Below are 24,759 nucleotides of genomic sequence, written 5' to 3'. Positions count from 1 at the left end.
TTGTAATTTAAAAATGCAGAGGTAGACAAGATAATATAATTAAAACAGCTAAAATCAGAAACTCTGCAAATAAGTGGCCAAGAGTTGTACAAGAAATTTTAGAATATCATCATATTCTGATCTGAGATAACTGAAGAAGAATGGGGGTAATTGATAATATCAGATTAATACTTGTCAAAGCACAGTACAAAATGGACTTAATATTGACTTAGCATTTTTAGATGATATGTAAATGTGTAAAAAGTGGAAGCTACCAAAAGTTTAAAATAGTCTCTTGTTATGGTTTCTTATGAGAAATAAAGACTGAGAAATTAGAACTGAACTTAGAAAACTAAAGTTGGATGTTTACCAAGAGTGTGGATAAGCAAGACCCAGCTCGCTTTGCCACAGACTGCTTTGAAAGATAAAAGCAAACACCCTAAGACACTAAGTGTAACAATTGCTAAAAACCCTGCTCTATGCTCCCATGTCAATTAAAGTGACTTCAACTGGCCTGCTTTACCTAATCCCAAATTGTTAAGTCCCATCCCCAAACCACTCAAGCTCTAAACCTAATTACAATCCTAGGCTCATAAAAACCCAAAGTTTTTTTCAAGATACCATTAAGGCTTTACTCTTAGCAGCTCTCTCCCTTGTTGAGCAATAACATGAACCAGGTTGTTTGAGACAGGCTTTCTTAGTGCTCTTTAAGCAGTCTAACAGCACTTAATCAGCTTTCGTTCTTTTTGTTTTATTTTTCTTTTTTTGTATTCTTGTTGAGTGTCTTTCATTGAGGATTAAAATAAAATCAATACAACATCAGCTTACCGTTGCACAAACTATTCCCCTCATCTACTAAACACTCCAGCTACAGTCCTAGCGAGCAGCTGAATGTTCACCCTATGTGTCTTGTTCATCCTTTGTTCTGCGCCTTTGCTTCAAGCATCTGCCCAGGGCTGTGAAGCCATGGTTCCTATACAACATGTGCAAGCCACTCAAAATTTTCATCACCCTCCTTCTTAATGTCAGAGCCTTGCAAAGTTTTTCTTCTTTCACTCATAGTGTCCCGTCATGCTAAAAATTAAAAAAAAAATTGTATAAATACTGTGAAAAAGTATAAGACAAGTTCTAGTTTAATGCAGACTTCATTTATCAATACCCCCATTTGGACAATTATACTTGTGGAGTGGAGAATAAACCGATGTGTGTTTGTGTGTGTATATATATATATATATCTTATGAATCCAGGTCACATGTGCACAGGCTCAAAAAAGTACTACCAAACACACGCAAAAACACAAGGACAATTTCAAAATGACTCAGAGCCTTGTGTCTTGAAAACCAGAAAGAGATCTCGATACCTAATCTACAGAAATGCTAACTTAAATCTTTACTTCCTTCATAAGTCACAGCTGCTACTGGGGCTCTGTCTGAAGCTTCTTCTACCTTTAGCCCATCTGATGTATCAGCCTTCTTCCTCTTCTCTTCTCTCAATACAGTCCTTTTTTATGTTAAGTGTTTAATGTGCATCAGCATCACCTGGCGAGCCTGTTAAAACACAGATTGGTGGCTTCATGCCAGAGTTTCTGATTCTGGAGGTCTCTGATGGCACACAAAAATTTTCATTTCTAGCATGTGCTCAGGTGATACTGATGGTTCAGGGATCACTCTTTGAGTACCACTGATGTAGGTCATCTTAGTCTCTCTGGTTGAGTTCCTTTTTCCCTCCTGTATCTATAATTCTATCTTCCACTTTCCATTCTCCCAACTCTCTGCCAGAAAAATACCAAAAATACAAATCTTAAAGATATTTGTCAACTTGGGCTGCCATAACAAAATACCATAAACTGCAGAGCTTAAACCCCAGAAATTTACTTCTCACAGATCTGGAGGCTGGGAAGCCCAAAATCAAGGTGCCAGCCTAATCAGTTCCCCAGTGAGGGCTTTCTTCTAGGCTTGAAGATGGCCACCTTCTCACTGTGTCCTCACATGGAAGAGAGACAGAAAGAGTTTGGGCCTCTCTTTCTCTTCTTACAAGAGCACTGATCCCATCATCAGGGTCCTACCCTTATAACCTCATCTAATCCTAATTATCTTCCAAAGACTCCATCTCCAAATACCATCATATTGAGGGCTAGAGCCTCAACAAATTCATTTGTGGGAGCAGGAGTGTTCTGTCCATATGAATAATTAACTCTCCTGAGATGGCAAAGACTGAATTCCTCTTCACGGGCAGATAAATAAGGTGAAAATTCCTTAGTCTTGTTAATAATGATTGCACTTTAACTTATATAAAATATACAACACCATGGGTGAATCTCCAAAATAAAAAAGAGGAAAGTCAAACACAAAAGATTATATATTATATGATTCCATTTACATGAAGTGCTAGAAATAACAAAAATATAGTGCCAGAAAACAGACTTAATGGTTGCCTGACACTGGTGGCCTAAGGAGAAAATTGACTACAAAGGGGTGCAAGGAAACTTTTTAGAATGATAGAAATATTCTAAGACTTGGTTTTGCTGGTGGTCACCTAGATATATGCAATTGCCAAAATACATTAAATTGTATACTTAAAATGAGTGAATTTTATCATATGTAAATTATGCCTCAGTAAATAAGGGAAACATATACATACTTTATATGTATATTATATATTAATATATATTACTTTATATATATAAAATGTTGAAATGTCTCCAAAAACAAAAAAGATTTCATTTAAATTAAGCTGATGTGACAACCAAAATTCTCTGTGGAAAAATAAATAAATAAACTGATAGATTATCTTCTGATTTTAAAGGAATTTTCTTGTTTTGTTTTGTATTTTATCTTTCATCTCATGTCTAAAGTGTGCCGGCCCAGGTTACAGGCTACATCACACACAATCAGTACCTCAATCAATGAAATAAGTGTGGCTCACTCTCCTCTTCCTGGGTGGGGTTCAAAGGATGTCTAAAGAATTGCATTTGTGAACTAAAGAATGCTACGTTGCTTTAGTTAAACGCAACTTACCTGATGAAGAAAGTACAATATAAGTTCAACAAAGGAAATGGTTTTGTTTAGGGCAGAATCTTCACTAATCTCTTACTGTGGCAATGCTTGGTGTGGTCTCTTCTTCTCCATCTCCCAGAGGAATAATTACACAAGTTCTGCTTTCTGCTCACCTGCCTCCTCATGTCAGATTTGGCATCTCTATTGCAAGATAATTGCTGCTTGGAATATTCAATTAGCTTTTAATTAAATATTGCTCATTAATATAACTGCAAGACAATAAAACATATGTCATTTGATTAGCCAAAAATTCAAATATAAATTACGTTCATTTTTATGCCAACATGCACATTACCTAATGAGACATTTTTCACCCTGCTATAAAAAGATTGTGTGTGATCTTATTTTCTTTTAGAGATTTTTTTAATGCGTGCAAGAAAAGTTTTTAAATTATATGTGGCAACTCATATTCTATTTCTTATCTCTACATTAACTATTTAGAACAGAAAGTTACGTACAGTTAAGTACAATGAAACTTCTTTGTAATAGCAGGTGTTTGGATATTAACTTAACACTCAGTTTTATATGTCATTTTATGTATAAAAATTTGTTGTTTATAGTGATCATATATATATTAGAACACAGATAGCATTTTATTTAACAACATATTTTGTCTGGTTATAAAAGTAATATATAGTTATATAAGAAGCCTTTTAAATTATAGAAAGGTAACCTATTAATACATTGATGTATTTTGTTCCTGTTCTGTTTTTAAAAACTAAAATTATAGCATATATTATAATATGTAATCTGGCTTGTTTAAGATTGTATTGTGATCACGTATCATGTCACTTTTTTAAAATTTAAAAATCTGAAAAGCTATGTGATATTTCATTATATAAACTGATTATAATTTTTAGACATCAGGGTTTGTTTTTCCCAATTTTTCACTATTATAGGTAAAAGTAAGGAAAATATATTTATTCATAAGTCTTGGCCATACCTCTGGTCAGGACTGATTCCTGAAAATAGAATTACTGGATTAGAAGAATTAAGGGAATACTTGTATTCTCAGCTTCTCATGTTTTTACAGGGTAGAGAGCAGCCTGGTGCTAACACTTCTAGGCCCTGTACAACCCCTGAAACTGATCCTCCCATAAGAAGCCAGGGTGATTAATATGGTTAGAGAATTGGAGAGAGTTGATACCTCTGGTCTCCTGTGATTTCTGTGAAGAACATCCCATGCTTTGACCTCTTGGCTTACTTAGCTTTTGATGTAAGACCACTGGGGCAAGGTGGTACCCACTAATAGCAACACCCCAGTGAGGAGTGACTGCTCTTTAAAGTTTCTCAACCTGTAAGTGGGTTGAGGTGGGGATGGGTATTAGGAGGTCAGAATTATCAGGCCCCAATATCCAACAATGGGAGAAGGGGGAAAGGCCCCATCAAGTTCTCCAAGCAGCTTTATTTGATAATCATGTACTTTAGAACACTTTGCACTCCTTCACTTAGTTTGGGCTCTGCTTCATCTGCAAGGAGCCAGGTAGGAAATAATTGCAATGAGTAGGATTCAGGTAGCAAACTTTTCACTTAATCTCCAACAAATGATATAATACAAGAGCTCAGAAGAGATAGAACAGTAAATTCACACTTTGAAATACTCCTTCTACTGCAAATACATAGCAGTAACAGTAAAAAATGTGGAAAAAAACAAACAATAACAAAATTTTTTAAACTGTGCTAAAAAAGAAATAAACAGTTTCATAAACCTGATATGGAAAAGAAATGAAAAATGGGAGCTGCGCTCTGGGTCAAGGGCAAAGAGGAGTAATTCGGAGTCTGGTTCCTGTGGAATTATGGAGAATAATAATGATCCACTAGGCTGAAAACGAAATCAGAGAAAGACCTACTGACTAAGTCAGGGTTTGGTAAAGATGTTCAATTCATGAAAACAGGGTTAAGAAAATGACTACTGACTCTACTTAAGACTGCAGATTATAGGAGCCATGAAAGGCCAAAACACAGAGATAATAGGATATTTCAAATGACATGAAAATTATATAATGCTAAGAAAGATGTTCAACAAACAACAATATGAGCTTGAATTCACTTCAATTGAATTTTACTGTATAGCATAATCAGACAAAGGCTTTAAAATAAACATGTTAGTAGGCCCTGAAATGACAAAAATGAAGGAAATATAGCCTTAGAAAGGACAATTATAAAATAAAAGTGGAAAATTTGTAAAGGACAGATGAAAATGAAAATAAAGAGGTCTTGAAAAATGAAAATATGATAATCAAAATTCAAAACAAGTCAATGAATAAGAAAAACCCTAGATAGGACATAGTAGAAGAGAGAATTCATGAATCAGAAGGTAGTTAGGATTTGTCAAAGCACAGTAGCAAAAACAGAAAAATGAATTATACTTAAGTGTAATATATGTACACACAAGCACATATATACATGTACACAAATGCATATGACAGAGCAATAAGAGACAAGGATAAAAATTAATAAATGACAGCATATGTATAATAGGACTCTCCCTGACTACAAGGAAGAATAGAGCCACAAGTTAGTGGCTGAAATTTTTTTAGAATTGAAGGAAGCATATGTCCTTAGAATACACTTGAACTCCAACTACTGAGCAGGATAATAAAAATAAGTACATACTAAGCTATATCAGAGTGAAATTATACAGTGTCAGGGAAAGAAGAGAAAATCTTAAAAGCTATCAGAGAGGGAAAAAAAAAACATTATTTAGAAGAACCATTGAGGTCAGATGCAGTGGCTCACACCTGTAATCCTAGCACTTTGGAAGACCAAGGTGGGTGGATCACTTGAGGTCAGGAGTGCGAGACCAGCCTAGACAACATGGTGAAACCCTGTCTCTACAAAAAAAAAAAAAAAAAAAAATACAGCCAGCCATGGTGGCTGGCGCCTGTAGTCCTAGCTACTCAGGTGGCCGAGGCACTAGAATCACCTGAACCCGGGAGATAGAGGTTGCAGTGAGCCAAGATCGTGCCACCCCACTCAAGCCTGGGTGACAGAGCAAGACTCCATCTCAAAAAACGAAAGAAAAAAAAAATTGAGATTAACAGACAGCAGATTTCTTTCTTATATAAGAAATTTCAGAAGATAATGGTGTAAAATCTTGAAAGCACTGAGGGGTAATAACTTTGTTTTGCCTTTTGTTATTATTGTTTGTCTTGTTTTGTTCTTCACAGTCTCTCCAACATCAAAATTTTGGAACATCCTAGATTTTAATCCTTAAATGTCTTTTCTTTTTCTCTTCTCACTCCCTCATGGGCTCATCCCGTCTCATAGTTTTACATGACATCTATATGTTGATGAATTCTATTTGTTACCCTTTGCTACACAACAAACCTCCCTAAAATATGGTAACTTAAAACAACTATTTATTGTTACCTCTCACTGCTCTGAGGGTTGACAGGCTCAGCTGGGCAGATGTGGTTTGCGGCCCCTCATATGGTTACAGTCAGCAGTAGCTGAGGCTGTAGGCATAGGGAGGCTTATTCATTTACAAGTTTGGTGCCTGGGTTTGGATGACTAGTATAGTTAGAGGCCAGTTAGGCATCTCTACCTCCATGGAGACTTTCACTCCATCATAGCATGATAGTCTCAGAAAAGGAGATATTCTTTCATGGTGGCTGATTCCCAGAGTAAATATTCAAGAGCGCCAGGCAAAAGTTGCAAGGTTCTTATCACCTAATGTTGAAAGTCTTAGAACATACTTTTGCCACATTCTATAGGTTAAGCAAGTTGTTAAAGCTTAGAATCTATTTTCTTTCCTTTTCTTTTTTTTCTTTTTTTTGAGATGGAGTCTGGCTCCATCACCCAGGCTGGAGTGCAATGGCGCGATCTCGGCTCACTGCAACCTCTGCCTCCTGGGTCCAAGTAATTCTCCTGCCTCAGCCTCCCAAGTCACTGGGATTACAGGCACCCGCCACTATGCCTGACAATTTTTTTGTATTTTTAGTAGAGACAGGGTTTCACCATGATGGCCAAGCTGTTCTTAAACCCCTGACCTCTGGTGATCCGCCCACCTCAGCCTCCCAAAATACTGGGATTACAGGCGTGAGCCACCGCGCCCACCTAGAATCTATTTTCAACACAGTTGCTAGAGTGATTATTTTAAAAACTATATTGAATCATGTTACTTCGTTACTCAAAACTCTCCAGTGGGCTTCCTTCTCATTCAGAACAAAAACCAAAGTTCTTAACACTGAATGACATGAGCTTACATAAACTGACTTTTGTTCTTCTGTAACTTCATCTCAAACAATTCTTCCCCATCCCCCTTTCCAACCTTCATCTCATTCATGGCACAATACCCTCCTTGATATTCCTTGAAAATATCAGATATCCGATGCTCTCTCACCTCAAGGCTTTGTACTTGTATCTTCTACTCAGACAACTTTTCTACCAAGTATTTGTAGAGCTTGATCCCTCAGAGCTTTGCTCAAACATCATCCCCACAGTGAATCTTTATTTGCAAATCTGCTCAACACTCCATATTTTGTTATCCCGTCCTCCACTTTATATTCTTGCCATAAACGTTATGACTGTCAGAAATACTATGGATTTTATTTATTTATTTATCCAATCATTCATTTACTCATTTATTGACTGTCTCTGTCAATTAGACTGTAAGTTCCACAGACAAGGATTTTTTTAATTTTGATCTTTTTAATTGATAAATAATAATTGTACAGATTCATGGGTTACATAGTGATGTTTACATATGTATAATACATAGTGATCAGATCAGGGTAATTAGTATATACATCTTCTCAAACATTTATCATTTCTTTGTGTGGGGAACATTCAATATTCTCCTTCTAGCTATCTGAAGCTATATAATATATTGTTGTTAATTCTACTCATCCTACAGTGGTAGAGAACACTAGAACTTATTTATCCTACGTAGCTATAATTTTGTGTCCTTTAACAAATCTCTACTTATCCCTCCCTTCTCTCTACCCTTGCCAGCCTCTAGTATCCTCTGTTTTACTTTTTACTCATATGAATAAACTTTTCTCAGCTTCCACATATGAGTGAGAATATGTGGTGTTTAACTTTTTGTTCCTGACTTATTTCACTTAACATAATGTCCTCCACTTCCATCCATGTTACTACAAATGACAAGATTTTATCTTTTTGTGGCTAAATGGTATTCCATTATGTATATATTGCATTTTCTTTACTCAGTCATCTGTTGTTGGACACCTAGGTTGATTCCATATCTTGGCTATTGTGAACAGTGTTGCAATAAACATGGGGGTGCAGATGTATCTTTGATATACTTATTTCCTTTCCTTTGGATAAATGCTCAGTTGTGGGATTGCTGGGTCATGTGATAATTTTAGTTGCAGTTTTTTTAGGAACCTCCATACTGTTATTCATAGTGACTGTATGGGTTTACATTCCCACCAACAGTAAGAGTTCCCTTTTCTTCACATTTTCACTAGCATTTACTATTTTTTTGTCTTTTTGGTAGTAGCCTTTCTAACTGAGGTGAGATGATACCTCATGGTGCATCTGAGTTGCATTTTCCCAGTAATGAGCGTTGTTGAGCATTTTTTCATGTTTGTTTTCCATTTTTGTGACTTCTTTTCACAAATGTTTGTATGTTTGTTCAGACTTGCCCATTTTCCAATCAGATTTTTTTTTTTGCTGTCAAGATGTTTGAGTTCCTTATATATGCTGTATATTAGTCCCCTGCAGTATGAGTAGTTTGAAAATAGTTTCTTTCATTCTGTAGGTTGTCTTTTCACTCTGTTGATTGTTTCCTTTGTTGTGCAGAAGCTTATAGTTTGATATAATCTCATTTGTTTATTTTTGCTTTATTGCCTGTGCTTTTGAGGTGTTATTCATAAAATCTTCTCTCAGACCCATATCCTGAACCATTTTCACTATATTTGCTTCTAACAGTTTTATAGTTTCATGTCTTCTATTTAGAGTTTTGATCCATTCTGAATTGATCTTTGTATAGGGTGTGATGTGGGGGTCTACTTTCATTCTTCTGCATATGGATATCCACTTTTCCCAGCACCAACTATTGAAGAGATTGTTTTTTCCCCAATTAGTGTCCTTCGCACCTTTGTCAAAAATCAGGTGGTTGTAGATATGTGGATTAGTTTCTGGGTTTGCTATTCTGTTCCATTGATCCATGTGTCTCTTTTTGTGACAGTACCATATTGTTTTGATTACTATAGCTTTGTAGTATATTTTGAGATCTGGTAGTGTGATGCTTCCAGCTATTTTTGCTCAGAATTGCTTTGGCTATTTGGGGTCTTTTGGGGTTCCATAGAAATTTCAGGATTTTTTCCATTTCTATGAAGAATGCAATTGATGATTTCATAGGAATTGCATTGGATCTGTAGATTGCTTTGAGTAGTATTGTAAATTTAGCAATATTTACTTTTCTGATCCATGAACATGGGATGTCTTTTCATTTGTTTGTATTGTCTTCATTTTCTTTCATCAGTGTTTGTAGAGATCTTTCACATGGTTAAGTTTATTACTAGGTATTTTTTGTTGCTATTATAAATGGGATTGCCTTCTTGATTTCTTTTTCGGCTAGCTTGTTTTTGGTGTATAGAAATACTACTGATTTTTGTTTATTACCTTTGTATCCTGCAACTTGACTCAATTAGTTTTACAGTTCTAAGAGTTTTTGGTAGAATCCTTACGTTTTTCTCTATATAATGTCATGTCATTTACAAACAGGAGCAATTTGACTTCCTCCTTTCCATTCTGGATGTCCTTTATTTCTTTCTTTTGCCTCATTGCTCTAGCTATGACTTCTGGTACTATGTTGAAAAGAGTGGTGAGAATAGTTTTGTTCTTGTTCATAGAGAAAAGGCATTCAGCTTTTCCCCATTTAGCAACATGTTAGCTGTGGGTTTGTCATACATGACATTTATCATATTGAGATACTTCTCTTCTGTACCTAATTTATTGAGGGTTTTTGTCATGGCACAATGTTAAATTTTATCTAATGCTTTGTCTGCATCTATTGAGATGATCACATATATTTGCTCTTTATTCTATTGATGTGATATATGACATTTATGGATTTGTGTATGTTGAAACGTTCTTGCATTCCTGAGATAAATCCTACTTCATCATGGTGTATTATCTGTTTGATGTTTTATTGGATTCAGTTTGCTAGCATTTTGTTGAGAATTCTTACGTCTATGTTCATGACGGATATTGGCCTGTAGTTTTCTTTTTTGTTGTCTCCTTGTCTGGTTTTGATGTGAGAGTTATGTTGGCCTTATGGAATTAGTTAGAAAGAATTTTCTCTGCTTTAACTTTTTGGAACAGTTTGAGAAGAATTGACATTAATTCTTCTTTAAAGGTTTGGTAGAACTCAGCTGTGAAGCCATCCAGTCCTGGACTTTTCTGTTTTGGGAGACATTTTTATTACTGATTCAATCTCATTACTTATTATTGATCTGTTCAGGCTTTCTATTTCTCCTTGGTTCAATCTTAGTAGGTTGTATGTATTCAGTAATTTATTTATTTCCTCTAGGTTTTCAAATTTATTGGCTTATGGTTATTCATAGCAGTCTCTAATGATCCTTTGTATATCTGTGGTATCCATTGTGATGTCTACTTTTTCATTTCTGATTTTATTTATTTTGGTCCCCTCTCTTTTTTTCTTAGTCTACCTGAAGGTTTGTCAATTTTGTTTATGTTTTCAAAAAACCAACTTTTTGTCTTATTCACCTTTTGTATTTTTTAGGGTCAATTTCATTTATTTCTGCTCCCATCTTTATTATTTATTTCTTTTTACTAATTTGGGGTTTGGTTTGTTCTTACTTTCCTCATTTTTGGGGTGCATGATTAAGTTGCTTATTTGAAATCTTCCCTGTTTTTTGATATAAGCATTTATTGTTATAAACTTACCTCAATACTATTTTTGCTGTGTCTCATAGGCTTTGAAACGTTGTGTTTCTATTTTCATTCATTTCAAGACATTTTACATTTTATTCTTAATTTTTGTCTTCACCCATTAGTCAGTCAGAAGCATGCTGTTTAATTTTCATGTATGTGTACAGTTTCAAATGTTCCTCTTGTTATCGCTTTCTAGTTTTATTCCATTTTGATAAGGTAAAACACTTTATATAATTTGATTTTTAAAAATTTGTTGAAACTTGTTTTGTGTCATAACATATGATCATCCTGGAAAATGTTCCATGTGCTGAGGAAAAAAAAAACTGTGTGTTTTGCAGTTGTTGGGTGAAATGTTCTGTAAATTTTTGTTAGGTCCATTTCATCTATGGCATAGTTTAAATTTGATATTTCTTTGCTGATCTGTCCAATGCTGAGAGTAGGATGTTGATATTCCCAACTATTATCATATTGGGGTCCATCTTTCCCTTTAGATCTAATAATATCTGCTGTATATATCTAGATGCTATGGTGTCGGGTGTGTGTGTGCATGTGTGTGTGTCTATATATATATATAGAGACACACAAACACATATGTACATAATTGTTATAGTCTCATGCTGAATGTATCCATTTATTTATTTATTTATTTATTTATTTATTTATTTATTGAGACAGAGTCTCACTCTCTCCAGGCTTGAGTACAGTGGCGTGATCTCAGCTCACTGCAACTGCAACCTGTCAGGTTCAAGCGATTCTCCCGCCTCAGCCTCCTGAGCAGCTGGGACCACAGGCACACGCCACCACACCCAGCTAATTCTTGTATTTTTAGTAGAGACGGGGTTTCACCATGCTGGTCAGAATGGTCTCGATCTCTTGATCTCATGGTCCACCCACCTCGGCCTCCCAAAGTGCTGGGACTACAGGCATGAGCCACTGTGCCCGACCCCCTTTATTATTATATAGTGTCCTTTTTGCCTCTTTTTACAGCTTTTAACCTGAAGTTTACTTTGTCTGATATACATATAGCTACTCCTGCCCAAGACCATGAACCCACCTCTTGCATCAGTGTGACCTGGGTGTGAGTTATGGAGTCAAAGGAGATCATTTTGGAGCTTGCTAGTGAATAAGTCTCACCAGAGCTGATGGTTTTATAAAAAGAAGTTTCCCTGCACAAGCTCTCTTCTCTTATCTGCCACCATGTTGAGACATGCCTTTCACCTTCTGCCATGATTGTGAGATTTGACTGCCCCGCTGGATTTCAGACTTGCATGTGACCTGTAATACCTTTATTTTGGCCAATTTTTTCCATTTGCAATGGTTTTATTTACCCAATGCCTGTACTCCTATTGTATCTAGGAAGTAACTAACTTGTTTTTGATTTTACAGGCTCATAGGCAGAAGGGACTTGCCTTGTCTCAGATGAGACTTTGGACTATGGACTTTTGAGTTAATTCGAAAATTACTTAAGACTTTGGGGGACTGATGGGAAGGCATGACTGGTTTTGAAATGTGAGGACATGAGATTTAGGAGGGGTCAGGGGTGGAATGATATGGTTTAGCTGTGTCCCCACCCAAATATCATCTTTAATTCCCACGGTTGTGGGAGGGACCCGGTGAGAGGTCATTGAATCATGGGGTGAGGTCTTTCCCATGCTGTTCTCTTGATAGTGAATAAGTCTCACAAGAGCTGATGGTTTTATAAAAAGAAGTTTCCCTGTACAAGCTCTCTTCTCTTATCTGCCACCATGTTGAGACATGACTTTCACCTTCTGCCATGATTGTGAGGCCTCCCCAGCCACATGGAACTGCAAGTCTGTTAAACCTCTTTCTTTTGTAAATTGCCAAGTCTCAGGTATGTCTTTATTTGCAATGTGAAAACAGGCTAATGCAGTCACCTCTTCCAATTTAATGGTGTAGGTTTCAACATACTCCACTGAACTGACACCCCAAGACCAATTTATTAGTATAATAAATTAGTATAAATAATTTGTATAAATGGGTCTTGGGGTGTCGGTTCAGTGGGGTGTGTTGGCCTTAGTTCTAGGTGGATGTAGTGTAGTCTCCATGAAGTTTCTTCAGCTGTAATTCACACTGGTAATGTGAGAGTTTCTCAGTGGGCTAGAATGAGAGAGTTTTTGGTGATGTTGATGTCACTTTGCCAGGGGTCAATGTATTAGTCAGTGTTCTCTAGAGGGACAGAACTAATAGAATATATGTATATATGAAAGGGAGTTTATCAAGAATTGACTCACACGATCACAAGGTAAAGTCACACAATAGGCCATCTGCAAGTTGAGGAGCAAAGAAGCCAGTGGTGGTTCAGTCCAAGTCCTAAAATCTCAAAACTTGGGAAGCCAACAGTGCAGCCTTCAGTCTGTGGCCAAAGACCCAAGAGCCCCTGGCAAACCACTGGTATAAGTTCAAGAGTCCAAAAGCTGAAGAACTTGGAGTCTGATGTTCGAGGGCAGGAAGCATCCAGCATGGGAGAAAGATGAAAGCCGGAAGACTCTGCAAATCTCCTCTTTCCAACTTCTTCCTGCTTTATTCTAGCCACACTGGCAGCTGATTAGATGGTGCCCAGATTGAGGGTTGGGTCTGAAGCCTCATCTCCCCTGCCCAAATCAGATCTGGCCAAATCAGATCAGAGGGTCGGTCTGCCTCTCCCAGTCCACTGACTCAAATGTTAATCTCCTTTGGCAACACCCTCACAGACACACCCAGGAACAATACTTTGCATCTTTCAATCCAATCAAGCTGACACTCAATATTAACCATCACAGTGGGCCCATGGAGCTATTTGTCAATCACACAGCTGCTTAGCTGGCCTGGGGGTGTGTCTTCTAGGGGTGGGCCCCTAGGATATTTCTCAGGACCAGGATGCAGGCTCTGGCTGTTCCACCAACCCGGGAGCATGTCTGCTGGAGGTGGCTGTTTTACAGGTCAGATGCAGGTACAAGCCTGCTAGGCTGGCTCAGGAGCATGCTCACTGAAGGTGACGTATAGGGCTTTTTATCAGGTCCCTTATACAGGTGGATGGCTGCTTACCTGGCCTGGGGCATGTCCACCAGGGTTGGCCCACAGGGCTATTTGTCAGGTTTTAGACGTGGGCTCCTGGCTGCTTTGCCTATCTTGGTGCATGCCTGCCAAGGGCAGCCTATGGGACTATTTCTCAGGCCTTTATTGAAACAAGCTATTGAACAAGCCAGGAGCATGTCCGCAGGGAAGTAAGGGCACTGCAGGGCTGCTTCTCAGATCCTGAGCATGGATGCATAGCCACTTCTCTGGCCCGGGGCCTTGCCAGCTCCTCAGAGGCTTGGGACATCTCCTGCTTGAGTGGGAGAACACACAGTGGTTTGGTCAGCTCAAATTCAGGTTTGCTCTGGGTAGGATTGCCAGGCTGTTCCTCAGGCTGGAGCTGCAGTAGTGGGAGTTGGTTTCCCTACTTTGCAGGACCGGGGTCACAGCTGATTCTGAGACCAGGCTTCACACAGCTGGGGTTGTGGCATTCAGCCACCTGTGTGGGTTTGGCATAATGATGATAAAGCCCTAATGCTGGAGAGGTGCAGTGGCTATTGGTCCTCACGCCTCACAGTAGGGTACACTCCAGAGGTGGCTTTGTCCTCAAGATGGAACCATGCTACAGCAGCTTGGTTTGCAGTGGGCGGGTGGGAGGTGGGAAGTATAGACTTTGTGCTCCTAGTGTAGGGCAATGCCCATCAGCTCTGCAAACTGGGCTCAAGGCTTATAAGGACTCTGGGATTCTTCTGTAACAAGAACTGTAGGTCTTTGTGGTGGCAATGGGAAATGGTGTGTATCTTCTGCTTACCTTCCCCCTGCAATGAAAAGTCCCTTCTGACTCAAAGCAGATCTGATTTGGGCAGGGGAGATGAGGCTGCAGAAACTGGGTGCCTCCACACTGTCCTTCTGGATTTCCAATTACTGCAGGCACATCTCCACTCTCCCACTGCACTCCAGAGCTCTCCCTTCAACACTCCAATCAAATCTTGGCTGTTTATTTACTGCCTTGGTCCTGTCTTGTGAGCAGGACAAACACCAGGCATCTCTGGTCAGCCACGTTGCTGACATCACTCTCAGGCAAGGATTTTTATCCATTTTCTTCCCTGATGTATTGTCACACCTAAAACAGTGCCTGGCATATTATAGGTACCTAATAAGCAATGGTGTGCCGATAAATGTTTAATGACGAGCTCCCATAAACAAAAGCAAAACAAAACCATGATTTATAGAATTTGCTGATCTCATGGTATATGTAGTCCTATCGCAACCAATTTCAACTGATAGGTCACTGAACATGGAATTGGTAAGCGATAAGCATAATTGGCTCTCATGACCCATTCCAAGTCAGCTACAGCTGTAATACTTGTTTAAAAAAATGAAAAAAAAGGAAGGAAGGAAAATACATCTATACTGAATTCAAAATGAAGGAAAATAAAGACTTTCTCTAAACAAAGATTTTAGGAGTTCACAATCCACAAACTGTCATTGAAGGAACCAATTAAGAATGCTTTAGTAAAAAGAAGAGTATAACTACAGAGATTGCATAGAATACAAAAACAATGGTGGTGCTGAAATTATAAAATGTATTAATAAATGTAATTATCAAATATATAAATTTTTGATAATAAATGTAATTTATTATCAATTTATAAATTTATTATAAATAAATAAATTTATAATAAAATTATAAATTTATAAATAAATTTGATGATAAATGTAATTATCAAATATATAAATGTCTAAAAATATAATTTTTATGTTTAAAAATGTGACACAAACTCTAGACAACAAAAAGAAGGGGTTCAATGATAAAGAGACTACTGATAGAGCCATTGTCTTGCTTAGGAGTTGGATAGAGATATTGAATAACTGTATGTCAGATGTTTAAGAATACCACTAATAGCCTAAAAAATACAATCTGTAGCTTCCAAATTTCCAGAGTGAAAAACCAGGGAGTGAATATGGAAATCTTCACATCCCAATATACGAGGGGAAACAGAGCAATGAAAAAGGATGATAAAAAGAAAACATAAAATAAAATGGTAGAAATAATTCACAATACATATAAACGGATTAAATGCTCATTTTAATTGGCCGAAGTATATTAATTTTTAATTCAACTTTAAATCCAAGACATATACCTAAATAAAGACAACACATAGAGGTTGAAAATAAATGAATGGAAAGCTATACCAGACTTGCAGGTTAAGAATGACAAACAGAACACATAAATTTACTTATGATTCATTTTGAAATCTCATTAAAATGGCAGCTAATGTTTTTAAGGCCTAAATCTATTTTTTAAAAAAAGACAATGGTAAAAGAAACGTTAGCTATAAAACATCGAAAGCTGTAAAGCAAGTGGATTCTTGGTAATTGACTTAGCAGGTAGTGAGGAAAGCAAGAAAGAACTATGATTTACATTGCAGACTCAAAAGGCTTAGGATTCGGTGGCACCAGGGATCTCTGGAATGGGGTAAAATAATAAAAATTATACTGCAAATAGACAGATTGTCTGAAAGTGTTTAAGAAGCAGTTCCCCAGATCCCCTCATAGGGTTGCTTTGAGGATTTTATGAGTAATATATGTAAAGCACACAGAGAAGTGCCTGGCACGAAGTAAGTGTTCTACATGTGTTTGCTATTATTACTCCATAGTGGGAAGTTAATAGATAATTCTATTAAAAGATGGAAAGGCAGCAATAGAAGCATACTATAGAGATGGAGGTTAATAATAAAAGAATTGTCTAAAAGAAGTTAAAGTTGTTTCATCTGGGGGAGAGGAACAGGGGTTACTAGTTTTTTATAACAAGCCTCATAAAGTAATAGCAAGTACTTGACTATTACCATGATAAAAAATTAAAACTTAAAAGGAAATAGGGAATAAAAGGCAGGGAAGCTGGTAGGCATAGTAGCTAATACTAACCAGAAGAAGGCTAGTATAGCAATTCTGTGCTGTTTTGACTCACAACATTTCTAACACCAAATGTGTCAGTTTTTTTTTCTTTTCACACCAACCAACCACTTCTACAGCTCTCCAGACACCAACTTCATGTCCCACAATTCAATGTAATTCTGATTCTAACTACCCAGAGTCAGTGCAGACATCTCAGGTTAAGGGCTCAGTCTCACAATACCGCCCGAATTTCAGATGTCCATCACAAGTCTGTCACCCATACTTCTGACCAACCAGTTCCCACGACTCCCTCCTCAGGTTTGAAAATTTGCTATAATAGCTCACAGAATTCAAGAAAGCACTTTACTTACTATTACTGGTTTATTATAAAGACTACAACTGAGGAACAGCCAAATGGAGATCTATTTGTGCCTACCATATTGTACAATGCAGAACTAATTCCTATTTTAGACAAAATATTTCATATAATAGAAGAAGAGGAAACGCTGTTCACATTATTGAATGAGGCTTTAAAATCCCTGATACCAAACCAGACAAGAATAGTGCAGGAAAAAAAACAATGTGTAGACCAATTTCACTCAAAACAAAAATGGAAACATTCTAAACAAAATACTACATGAAATTCATATGAAAAAGCTAAAGGTTAAGAATATCCAAGACAATTTGAAAACAAGATAAGAACTTGCTCCACCAGATATTAAGATTTATTTTAAAGATCTAGTAATGAGACTGTGTGACATTGGTCCAAAGATAGACAAATAGGCCAGAGAAACAATATGGAGAACATGACAGACATAGTATTGCAAAGCAGAAAGCAAGAGTGTCCTGTTCAAGGAATAATACACAGGTAGATTAAATTATTGTTAGTGATCTAGTTCTTGGGTTGGGTAATATTCATCATGTTATAAATAAACAAACAAAATTAAAAAAATAAAGAATGCCCCATTCAATCTATGGTGCTAGGACAACTGGATGTCCATAATTAAAAATAGCTGAATTAGACTCTGCCTTTAAACCCTACACAAAATATACTTCAAATGGTTTAAAGAACTAAATATGAGAAATAAAACTTTAAAAAGAAAATATGACTTTTTGGTAGGGTTTCTTAAGCAAAAATTTTAAATAAGATTCCAAAAAGCACAAAGCTGTTCACGTCAGGTAAACATTGATACATTTTACCAATTAAAATATAAAACTTCTGATATGGTTTGGCTGTGTCCCCATTCAAATCTCAACTTGAATTGTATCTCCTAGGATTCCCATGCATTGTGGGAGGGACCCTTGCTACCGTCATGTAGGAAGTGCCTTTTACCTCCCACCATGATGCTGAGGCCTCCCCAGCCGTGTGGAACTGGAAGTCCAATTAAACCTCTTTTTCTTCCCAGTCTCAGGTATGTATTTATCAGCAGCATGAAAACTGAATAATACTGTAAATTGGTACCAGTAGAGTGGGGCATTGCTGAAAAGATACCCAAAAATGTGAAAGCAACTTTGGAACTGTGTAACAAGCAGAGGTTGGAACAGTTTGGGGCGCTCAGAAGAAGATAGAAAAATCTGGGAAAGTTTGGAACTCCCTAAATACTTGTTGAATAGCTTTGCCCAAAATGCTCGTAGTGATATGGACAATAAGGTCCAGGCTGAGGTGGTCTCAGATGGAGATAAGGAGCTTGTTGGGAATTGGAGCAAAGGTGACTCTTGTTATGTTTTAGCAAAGAGACTGGCAGCATTTTGCCCTTGCCCTAGAGATTTGTGGAACTTCAAACTTGAGAAAGATGATTTAGAGTATCTGGCAGAAGAAATTTCTAAGCAGCAAAGCATTCGAGAAGTGACTTGGGTGCTGTTAACAGCATTCAGTTTTACAAGGGAAGCAGAGCATAAAAGTTTGGAAAATTTGTAGCCTGACTATGGGACAGAAAAGAAAAACCCATTTTCTGAGGAGAAATTCAAGCCAGCTGCAGAAATTTGCATAAGTAATGAGGAGCCTAATGTTAATCCCCAAGACCATGAAGAAAATATCTCCAGGCCATGTCAGAGACTTTCACGGCAGCCCCTCCCATCACAGGCACAGAAGCCCAGGAGTCCCTGTGCCGTGTGCAGCCTAGGATCTTGATGCCCTGTGTCCTAGCCACTCCAGCTGTGTCTGAAAGGGTCCAATGTACAGCTTGGGCCATGGCTCCAGAGGGTGGAAGCCCCAAGCCTTGGCATCTTCCACATGCCTGGATGCCCAGGCAAAAGTTTGCTGCAGGGGCAGGGCCTCATGGAGAACCTCTGCTACGGCAATGCAGAAGGGAAATGTGGGGTGGGAGCCCCCACACAGAGTCCCTACTGGGGCACTGCCTAGTGGAGCTGTGAGAAGAAGGCCACCGACCCCAGACCCCAGAATGGTAACTCCACCAACAGCTTGCACTGTGTGCCTGGGAAAGCCACAGACACTCAATGCCAGCCTATGAAAGCAGCCGGGAGGGAGGCTGTACCCTGCAAAGCCACAGGGGCGGGGCTGCCCAAGACCATGGGAACCCACCTCTTACAACAGCATCACCTGGATGTGAGACAGGGAGTCAAAGGAGATAATTTCAGAGCTTTAAAATTTGATTGCCCTGCTGGATTTTGAACTTGCATGAGCCTTGTAACCTCTTTGTTTTGGCCAATTTCTCCCATTTGGAATGGCTATTTTACCCAATACCTGTACCCCCATTGTATCTAGGAAGCAACCAACTTGCTTTTGATTTTATAGGCTCATAGGTGGAAGGGACTTGCCTTGTCTCAGACGAAACTTTGGACTGCGGACGTTTGGGTTAATGCTGAAATGAGTTAAGACTTTGGGGGACAGTTGGAAAGGCATGATTGGTTTTGAAACGTGAGGACATGAGATTTGGAGGGGCCAATGTTGGAATTATATGGTTTGGCTGTGCCCCCACTCAAATCTCAACTTGCATAATGTGTCTCAGAATTCCCATGTGTTGTGGGAGGGACCCAGGGGAGGTAATGGAATCATGGGGGCCAGTCTTTCCTGTTCTATTCTCGTGATAGTGAATAAGTCTCATGAGATCTGATGGGTTTATCAGGGGTTTCCACTTTTGCTTCCTCTTCATTTTTCTCTTGCCACCGCCATGTAGGAACTGCCTTTCGCCTCTCTCCATGATTCTAAGGCCTCCCCAGCCATGTGGAACTATAAGTCCACTTCAACCTCTTTTTCTTCCCAGTCTCGGATATGTTTTTATCAGCAGCATGAAAACGGACTAATACGACTTCCATAAAACAGAAAACAGCAAATAAAATATAATTCACAGGCTTGAGAAAAGCTATTTGTCATAATAAAGCTAACAAATGAATAGGTCTGAATACATAGGAATACCCAAAAATCAATTTTTAAAAAGATAGGAACATCCAACAGAAAAATGGACAAAGAATATGAGAGTAAAGTATTACACACCAAAAAAAGAAATGTAAATACTACTAAACATATGAGTAAATGTGCAGCTTTACCAATGATCAGACAAATACAAATGAAAACAATAACAACATAAGATTGGTAACATTTTAAAGTTTGATGATTCCAGGGATCAGTGAGAACATGGAGCAACAGGAACTCTCAAATGCTGCAGATGGGCATGTGAATTTGAACAACTACTTTGAAAGGCAATTTATTGGTATCTATAAAGTTGAAAAATGTGCAAGCCCCCTCAGGCATCAATTACATTTCTAGATAATTCATCTTAATAAACTCTTCTGGTTTATTATGCAGACCAATTTCATTCTCTCATTTTGTCCTATCTTTACCCTTCTAGAATAGGTCCAGAGGAGGCTTCAATTCCTGAACTCCAAAACACATCACGGTATATCATCGTGGTTTTCTTATACCAACTATAAAAACAGCTTACCCAAGATTATACTATTGCCCAACAGTAGTTGTTGAAGTTCATTGTGTTTAAAATAGCATTCTTCATTTCCAGCACAGATACAAATTCCATTGTAGTAAGAAAGTATTGTGAATAGAAATGATAAAAATGGATATTACCTTTGAGTCCTACTATATTTAGAATAAAATCCAAAACCCTTAACAGGACCTGTAAGATCACTGATATTCTCCCTGGCCTGCCTCTCCAGCATCACATCATTTCACTCTCCCCCAGCTCTCTTCAGTCCAGCCACAATGAGTATCACCTAACTTCTTGAACACACCATGCCTCTCCCACCAAAGGGCTCTTGCTGTTACCTCTGCCTGAAAGCTGTCTTCTCTACCTCTTTGTCTTGCTAATTCATGATCTATTTGCAGGTAGCATTTTTTGACAAATAATAAATATTTGATGAATATGTTTTGCCTGACGTAGACTGGCTAAATACGCAAATGATTTGTCTTATTTGCTGTTTGTCTTTAGGAGTTGAGTCCGGTACAATGTCCTTCAAAATCAGGCCACAGATGAGAAGCTGCATTCAATTCCAAGGGGATTGGCAATGTGGGAGGACAGATAGGGTGTTATCAGGATGCCAATGGGAATGGGTGCAGAATCAATAAAGTGTGGCACCTTTGAGGAAAATATTCATCACTCCCAAAGCATGACACGAGTAGGAATGTGAAAAGGGATGTTCTGTAAGGCAAAAACCATCTCAAGGATTTTGTCAAAGGACACAGCAGTTCTTTTGGTTTAGGGGTCTTTTCTTTTTTCTGCTGCAAATATCAGAAATGGTGTTTTTCAAACTTGATCTATAGAGCATAAAGCCAAGAGAACCCCTTTGGATCATTTGTGTGTGTGTGTGATATAGCTGTTCAGGTGATGTCACGGTGCAGTCAAAGTGCCTGAGCAAGGGAACTTATAAGGGACAGATTGTCTGCCACCTCTGAGACTAGCCCACCTAAGCATTTGGCCCTGACCAGTCTGGCAGCCCTTGGGCTCTGGTTCTCAGAACAGCACTGTTGTATGTGTCTCCAAGCTTCAAAATTCTCAGACTGGAGGGTTTTTCAGGGTTTCACTCTCTACTTGGCCCTGTAGTACTTTAGATTGCAGGATAGAACATGCCTGGCCAGCAGTTTAGGTGGACAGGTAAAGGAGAATAAGACATTCAAATAATATATTTCTAAAGCACTGTGAGGGTCCCGTCTCACCAGCTGGCTGCTCCAGGGTTAGATAGCCTGCATGTTTTGTTGTGGCATGCCAGGTCCTCTCAAGGCATGCTTCAGCCAGCCTAGGTGTCAATAGCAGCTGACTCCTCCTGAGATAACTGATCTCAAATGCAGCCAGTTTCTTGGAGACTTGGCACATGTATCTTGAGTCAAAAAGCTATATGGTGCCTGGATCCATCATCACTTAAACGTGAAGGCAAGAATCTTCCACCCAGAATTCCATGAAGCATCCCTTCCTGTGACCAGGACCCAGGATGAAGTACAACATTTGGGAGTGTTGAGTCTTGCAGCAGGATAAATGTCTATCCATAGATCCATAGGTAGACCTAGGAGGAAATGGTCTACCCACTAGAGTATATGCTCTGCCATCTGGTTTTGCAGCAATTAGGTGAATGGATGGATCAAGTGGCCCAGAACAGTAGCCACAGGAAGTTGTGAACATGGTATCAGATATGCCTCATTATTTGCAGTGAATATCTCTATTCAGGAATCTGCAAGGCCCCAGAAACTCTGGCTATCACTTCACCTGGTGAGCCTTGAAGCTGCCCATAGAGACTGCCAGTCACCCCAGCCCTGCCAGGGTCTGTGGATGGCACTTTGACCATCCATGCCAAGCCAGGCCACCAAACATTGCTTGGCTAAGAATGGAGGTTCAGGTTGCTTTTAAGCAGCAGAAAAAAGCTGGAAGAGAGGTACTACTGACTTCGCCTTCTCTACCAAACAAGGAACTGCACTATGCTCAGCTCCCGTGTAAAATTGTATCCTGACATTTATAGGTGCAGTGGGGTTAAACGGATTTAGAAATGGAGCCACAACATCAATGGGCAAAATGGGAAATATGTTCTTACAAAACTGGCAAAGCCAAATCCAAAGTAGACAGTGCCCTCATGTGGAAGAAAAAATTTTTTTGCGAAAACAAATTTCCACTGTTTTCTGAGTGACTGTAGCTGAGTATTCTTTAGAAATACGCAAGAGGTAAGTTAACATTCTACCAATAAGAGCTAGCTGACAGGTAACAAATGATTAACTTTATCATATGAAATTTAAACTCAAGAAACTGTCTGGGGTTCAGCAAAACTAGACAACTTATTTTTAATACAAAGAAGTGTATTAGCCCATTTTTTTGCATTGCTATTAGGAAATTTATAAAGAAAAGAGGTTTAACCGGCTCATGGTTCTGCAGGCTATACAAGCATGGCTCCAGCTTCTGCTTTGCTTCTGGTATGGGCCTCAGAGAACTTACAACCATAGTGGAAGGTGAAGGGGAGCAGGAGTGTCACATGGCGAGAGAACAGGAGCGAAAAAGAAAAGGCAGAGGTCCCAGATCTCGTAAGAAATAACTGAGCAAGAACTCACTTATCATCATGGGGATGATGCTAAGCCATTCATGAGGGGATCCCCCCTGCCTGCCCCACCAAACCATGACACAATCGCCTTCCACTAGGCCCTGCCCGCAACATGGGGAATCACATTTCAACATGAGATTTGGAGGGAGCAAACATCCAAACCGTGTCAGGAAGTAAATATAACATCTAGTTAATAGGAAATGTGTTTTGTCTATCTGCCCCCACTCCCAACCACCCATGAAATAAAGATTTTTTTTTAAGGTTGTTTGAAGGAGTAGCTAATTAATAATCTTCCCCTGAGTACCCACTTATGTCCACTGGGCGGTAAGTCATAACCATTCCCCAGGGGACAGCAACATGGTTTCACAGGCTCGCTAGTGATTTTTTTTTTTTTTTTCTGGGAGAAGTGGTAACACCAATGGTATTTGAGTGCACTGGGCCCTGAGTCAGATCTTTGCTCAGTCCCCTGAACACAAAGCACCTGCAAACGGGATGAGAGAGCATTTCTGAAAAGGGAGGCAAAGCTGGGAGGAAGAGAGAGGAGGATCTGAACTTTCATAGAGCTGGAGTCTTGCTCTGGCCTCTAGCAGCTGTGCAGCCCAGGACATGTGGCAGGGTCCTGCTGGTTAGGTTAGAGTGATAGTATCTGTACCACTACCATGGAAAGTAGCAAGCCCTACAAATCAGGGCTTTTCTCCCGGAGAGCCAGCTGTTAAATGCTTACCAGCACACTACTGCTTCTGTGATTGACTTTCCCCCTTTTAAGCACTCTCACTCTCCTGTTCCTGCTACTTGCACTCTTCACCAGCCACACTTTCATTCCTTGCACCTGTCCTAACTGCCCTGTCTGGGAGCCCTCTCTGGGCCTCACTTCCTTTCATATCAAGTCTAGATTCCCTGTTCCGTCACGCTGCTCTGTTAATTGCACTCTTAACAAACTAGTGTCCCTATTTAAAAATTCCCTAACTATGAATCCATCAAATCTATGCCATTTTCTCCTACCTCATGGCATCGAAGCATTACTGAAGAATATCTCATAGCCCTGAGTGTTGGGGCCATTTAAATGTGTAGTATGCAGCCTCATAGTTTTTTCAGTGCTTCTTAGAAATCTATTTATTGTGCATGGCCAGCTTAGCTCTTTTGAAACTTATCCACTTTCCCAAAGTTAGTTATTTTCTACCACCCTTTCCCACACATATTCTCTACATGTAGCCTCACCTACTTTAAGAGAAAACATTAAAATGGAAGTAATAGCTCTCAATATATTAGTGGCCAGCCAAAAAAAGTATTTTTATCCACATCATAGTACTTAACTTTCTCTTATTTCAATTACAGTATTATTCTTGCTTCTTTCCTTCTTTCTTCAGAGTCCTTCAATTTCTTAATCTATAAAATATGAATAACAACACTGACCTCATGGGGTGTTTGTGAATACTAAATGAGTTATTATTT

General features: G+C 38.7%; 1 long non-coding RNA gene across 1 annotated transcript in view, besides 1 other annotated feature; it reads right to left on the bottom strand.

Annotated features, from left to right (window-relative positions):
- Positions 1-814: 814 nt before the first annotated feature.
- LOC105374813 (uncharacterized) overlaps positions 815-24,759 on the bottom strand; it is a 41,322-nt gene continuing 17,377 nt past the window's right edge. Inside the window, exons 2-3 of the long non-coding RNA XR_940260.2 lie at positions 2,998-3,245; positions 815-1,053 (exon numbers count right to left, since the gene is read on the bottom strand). This is a non-coding gene — a long non-coding RNA (uncharacterized LOC105374813). The remainder of the gene's footprint in view (positions 1,054-2,997; positions 3,246-24,759) is intronic.
- Positions 18,612-19,112: an enhancer, noted in NCBI's record as "H3K4me1 hESC enhancer chr2:75960925-75961425 (GRCh37/hg19 assembly coordinates)". NCBI's record gives its function as "activates a minimal SCP1, AML or CMV promoter by ChIP-STARR-seq in primed H9 embryonic stem cells {active_cell/tissue: H9 hESC(primed)}" and the evidence as "EXISTENCE:reporter gene assay evidence [ECO:0000049][PMID:30033119]".

The sequence above is a fragment of the Homo sapiens genome, chromosome 2 (genome assembly GCF_000001405.40).
Source record: "Homo sapiens chromosome 2, GRCh38.p14 Primary Assembly".
NCBI lineage: Eukaryota > Metazoa > Chordata > Mammalia > Primates > Hominidae > Homo > Homo sapiens.
This window is presented reverse-complemented; position numbering and strand designations above follow the sequence as displayed.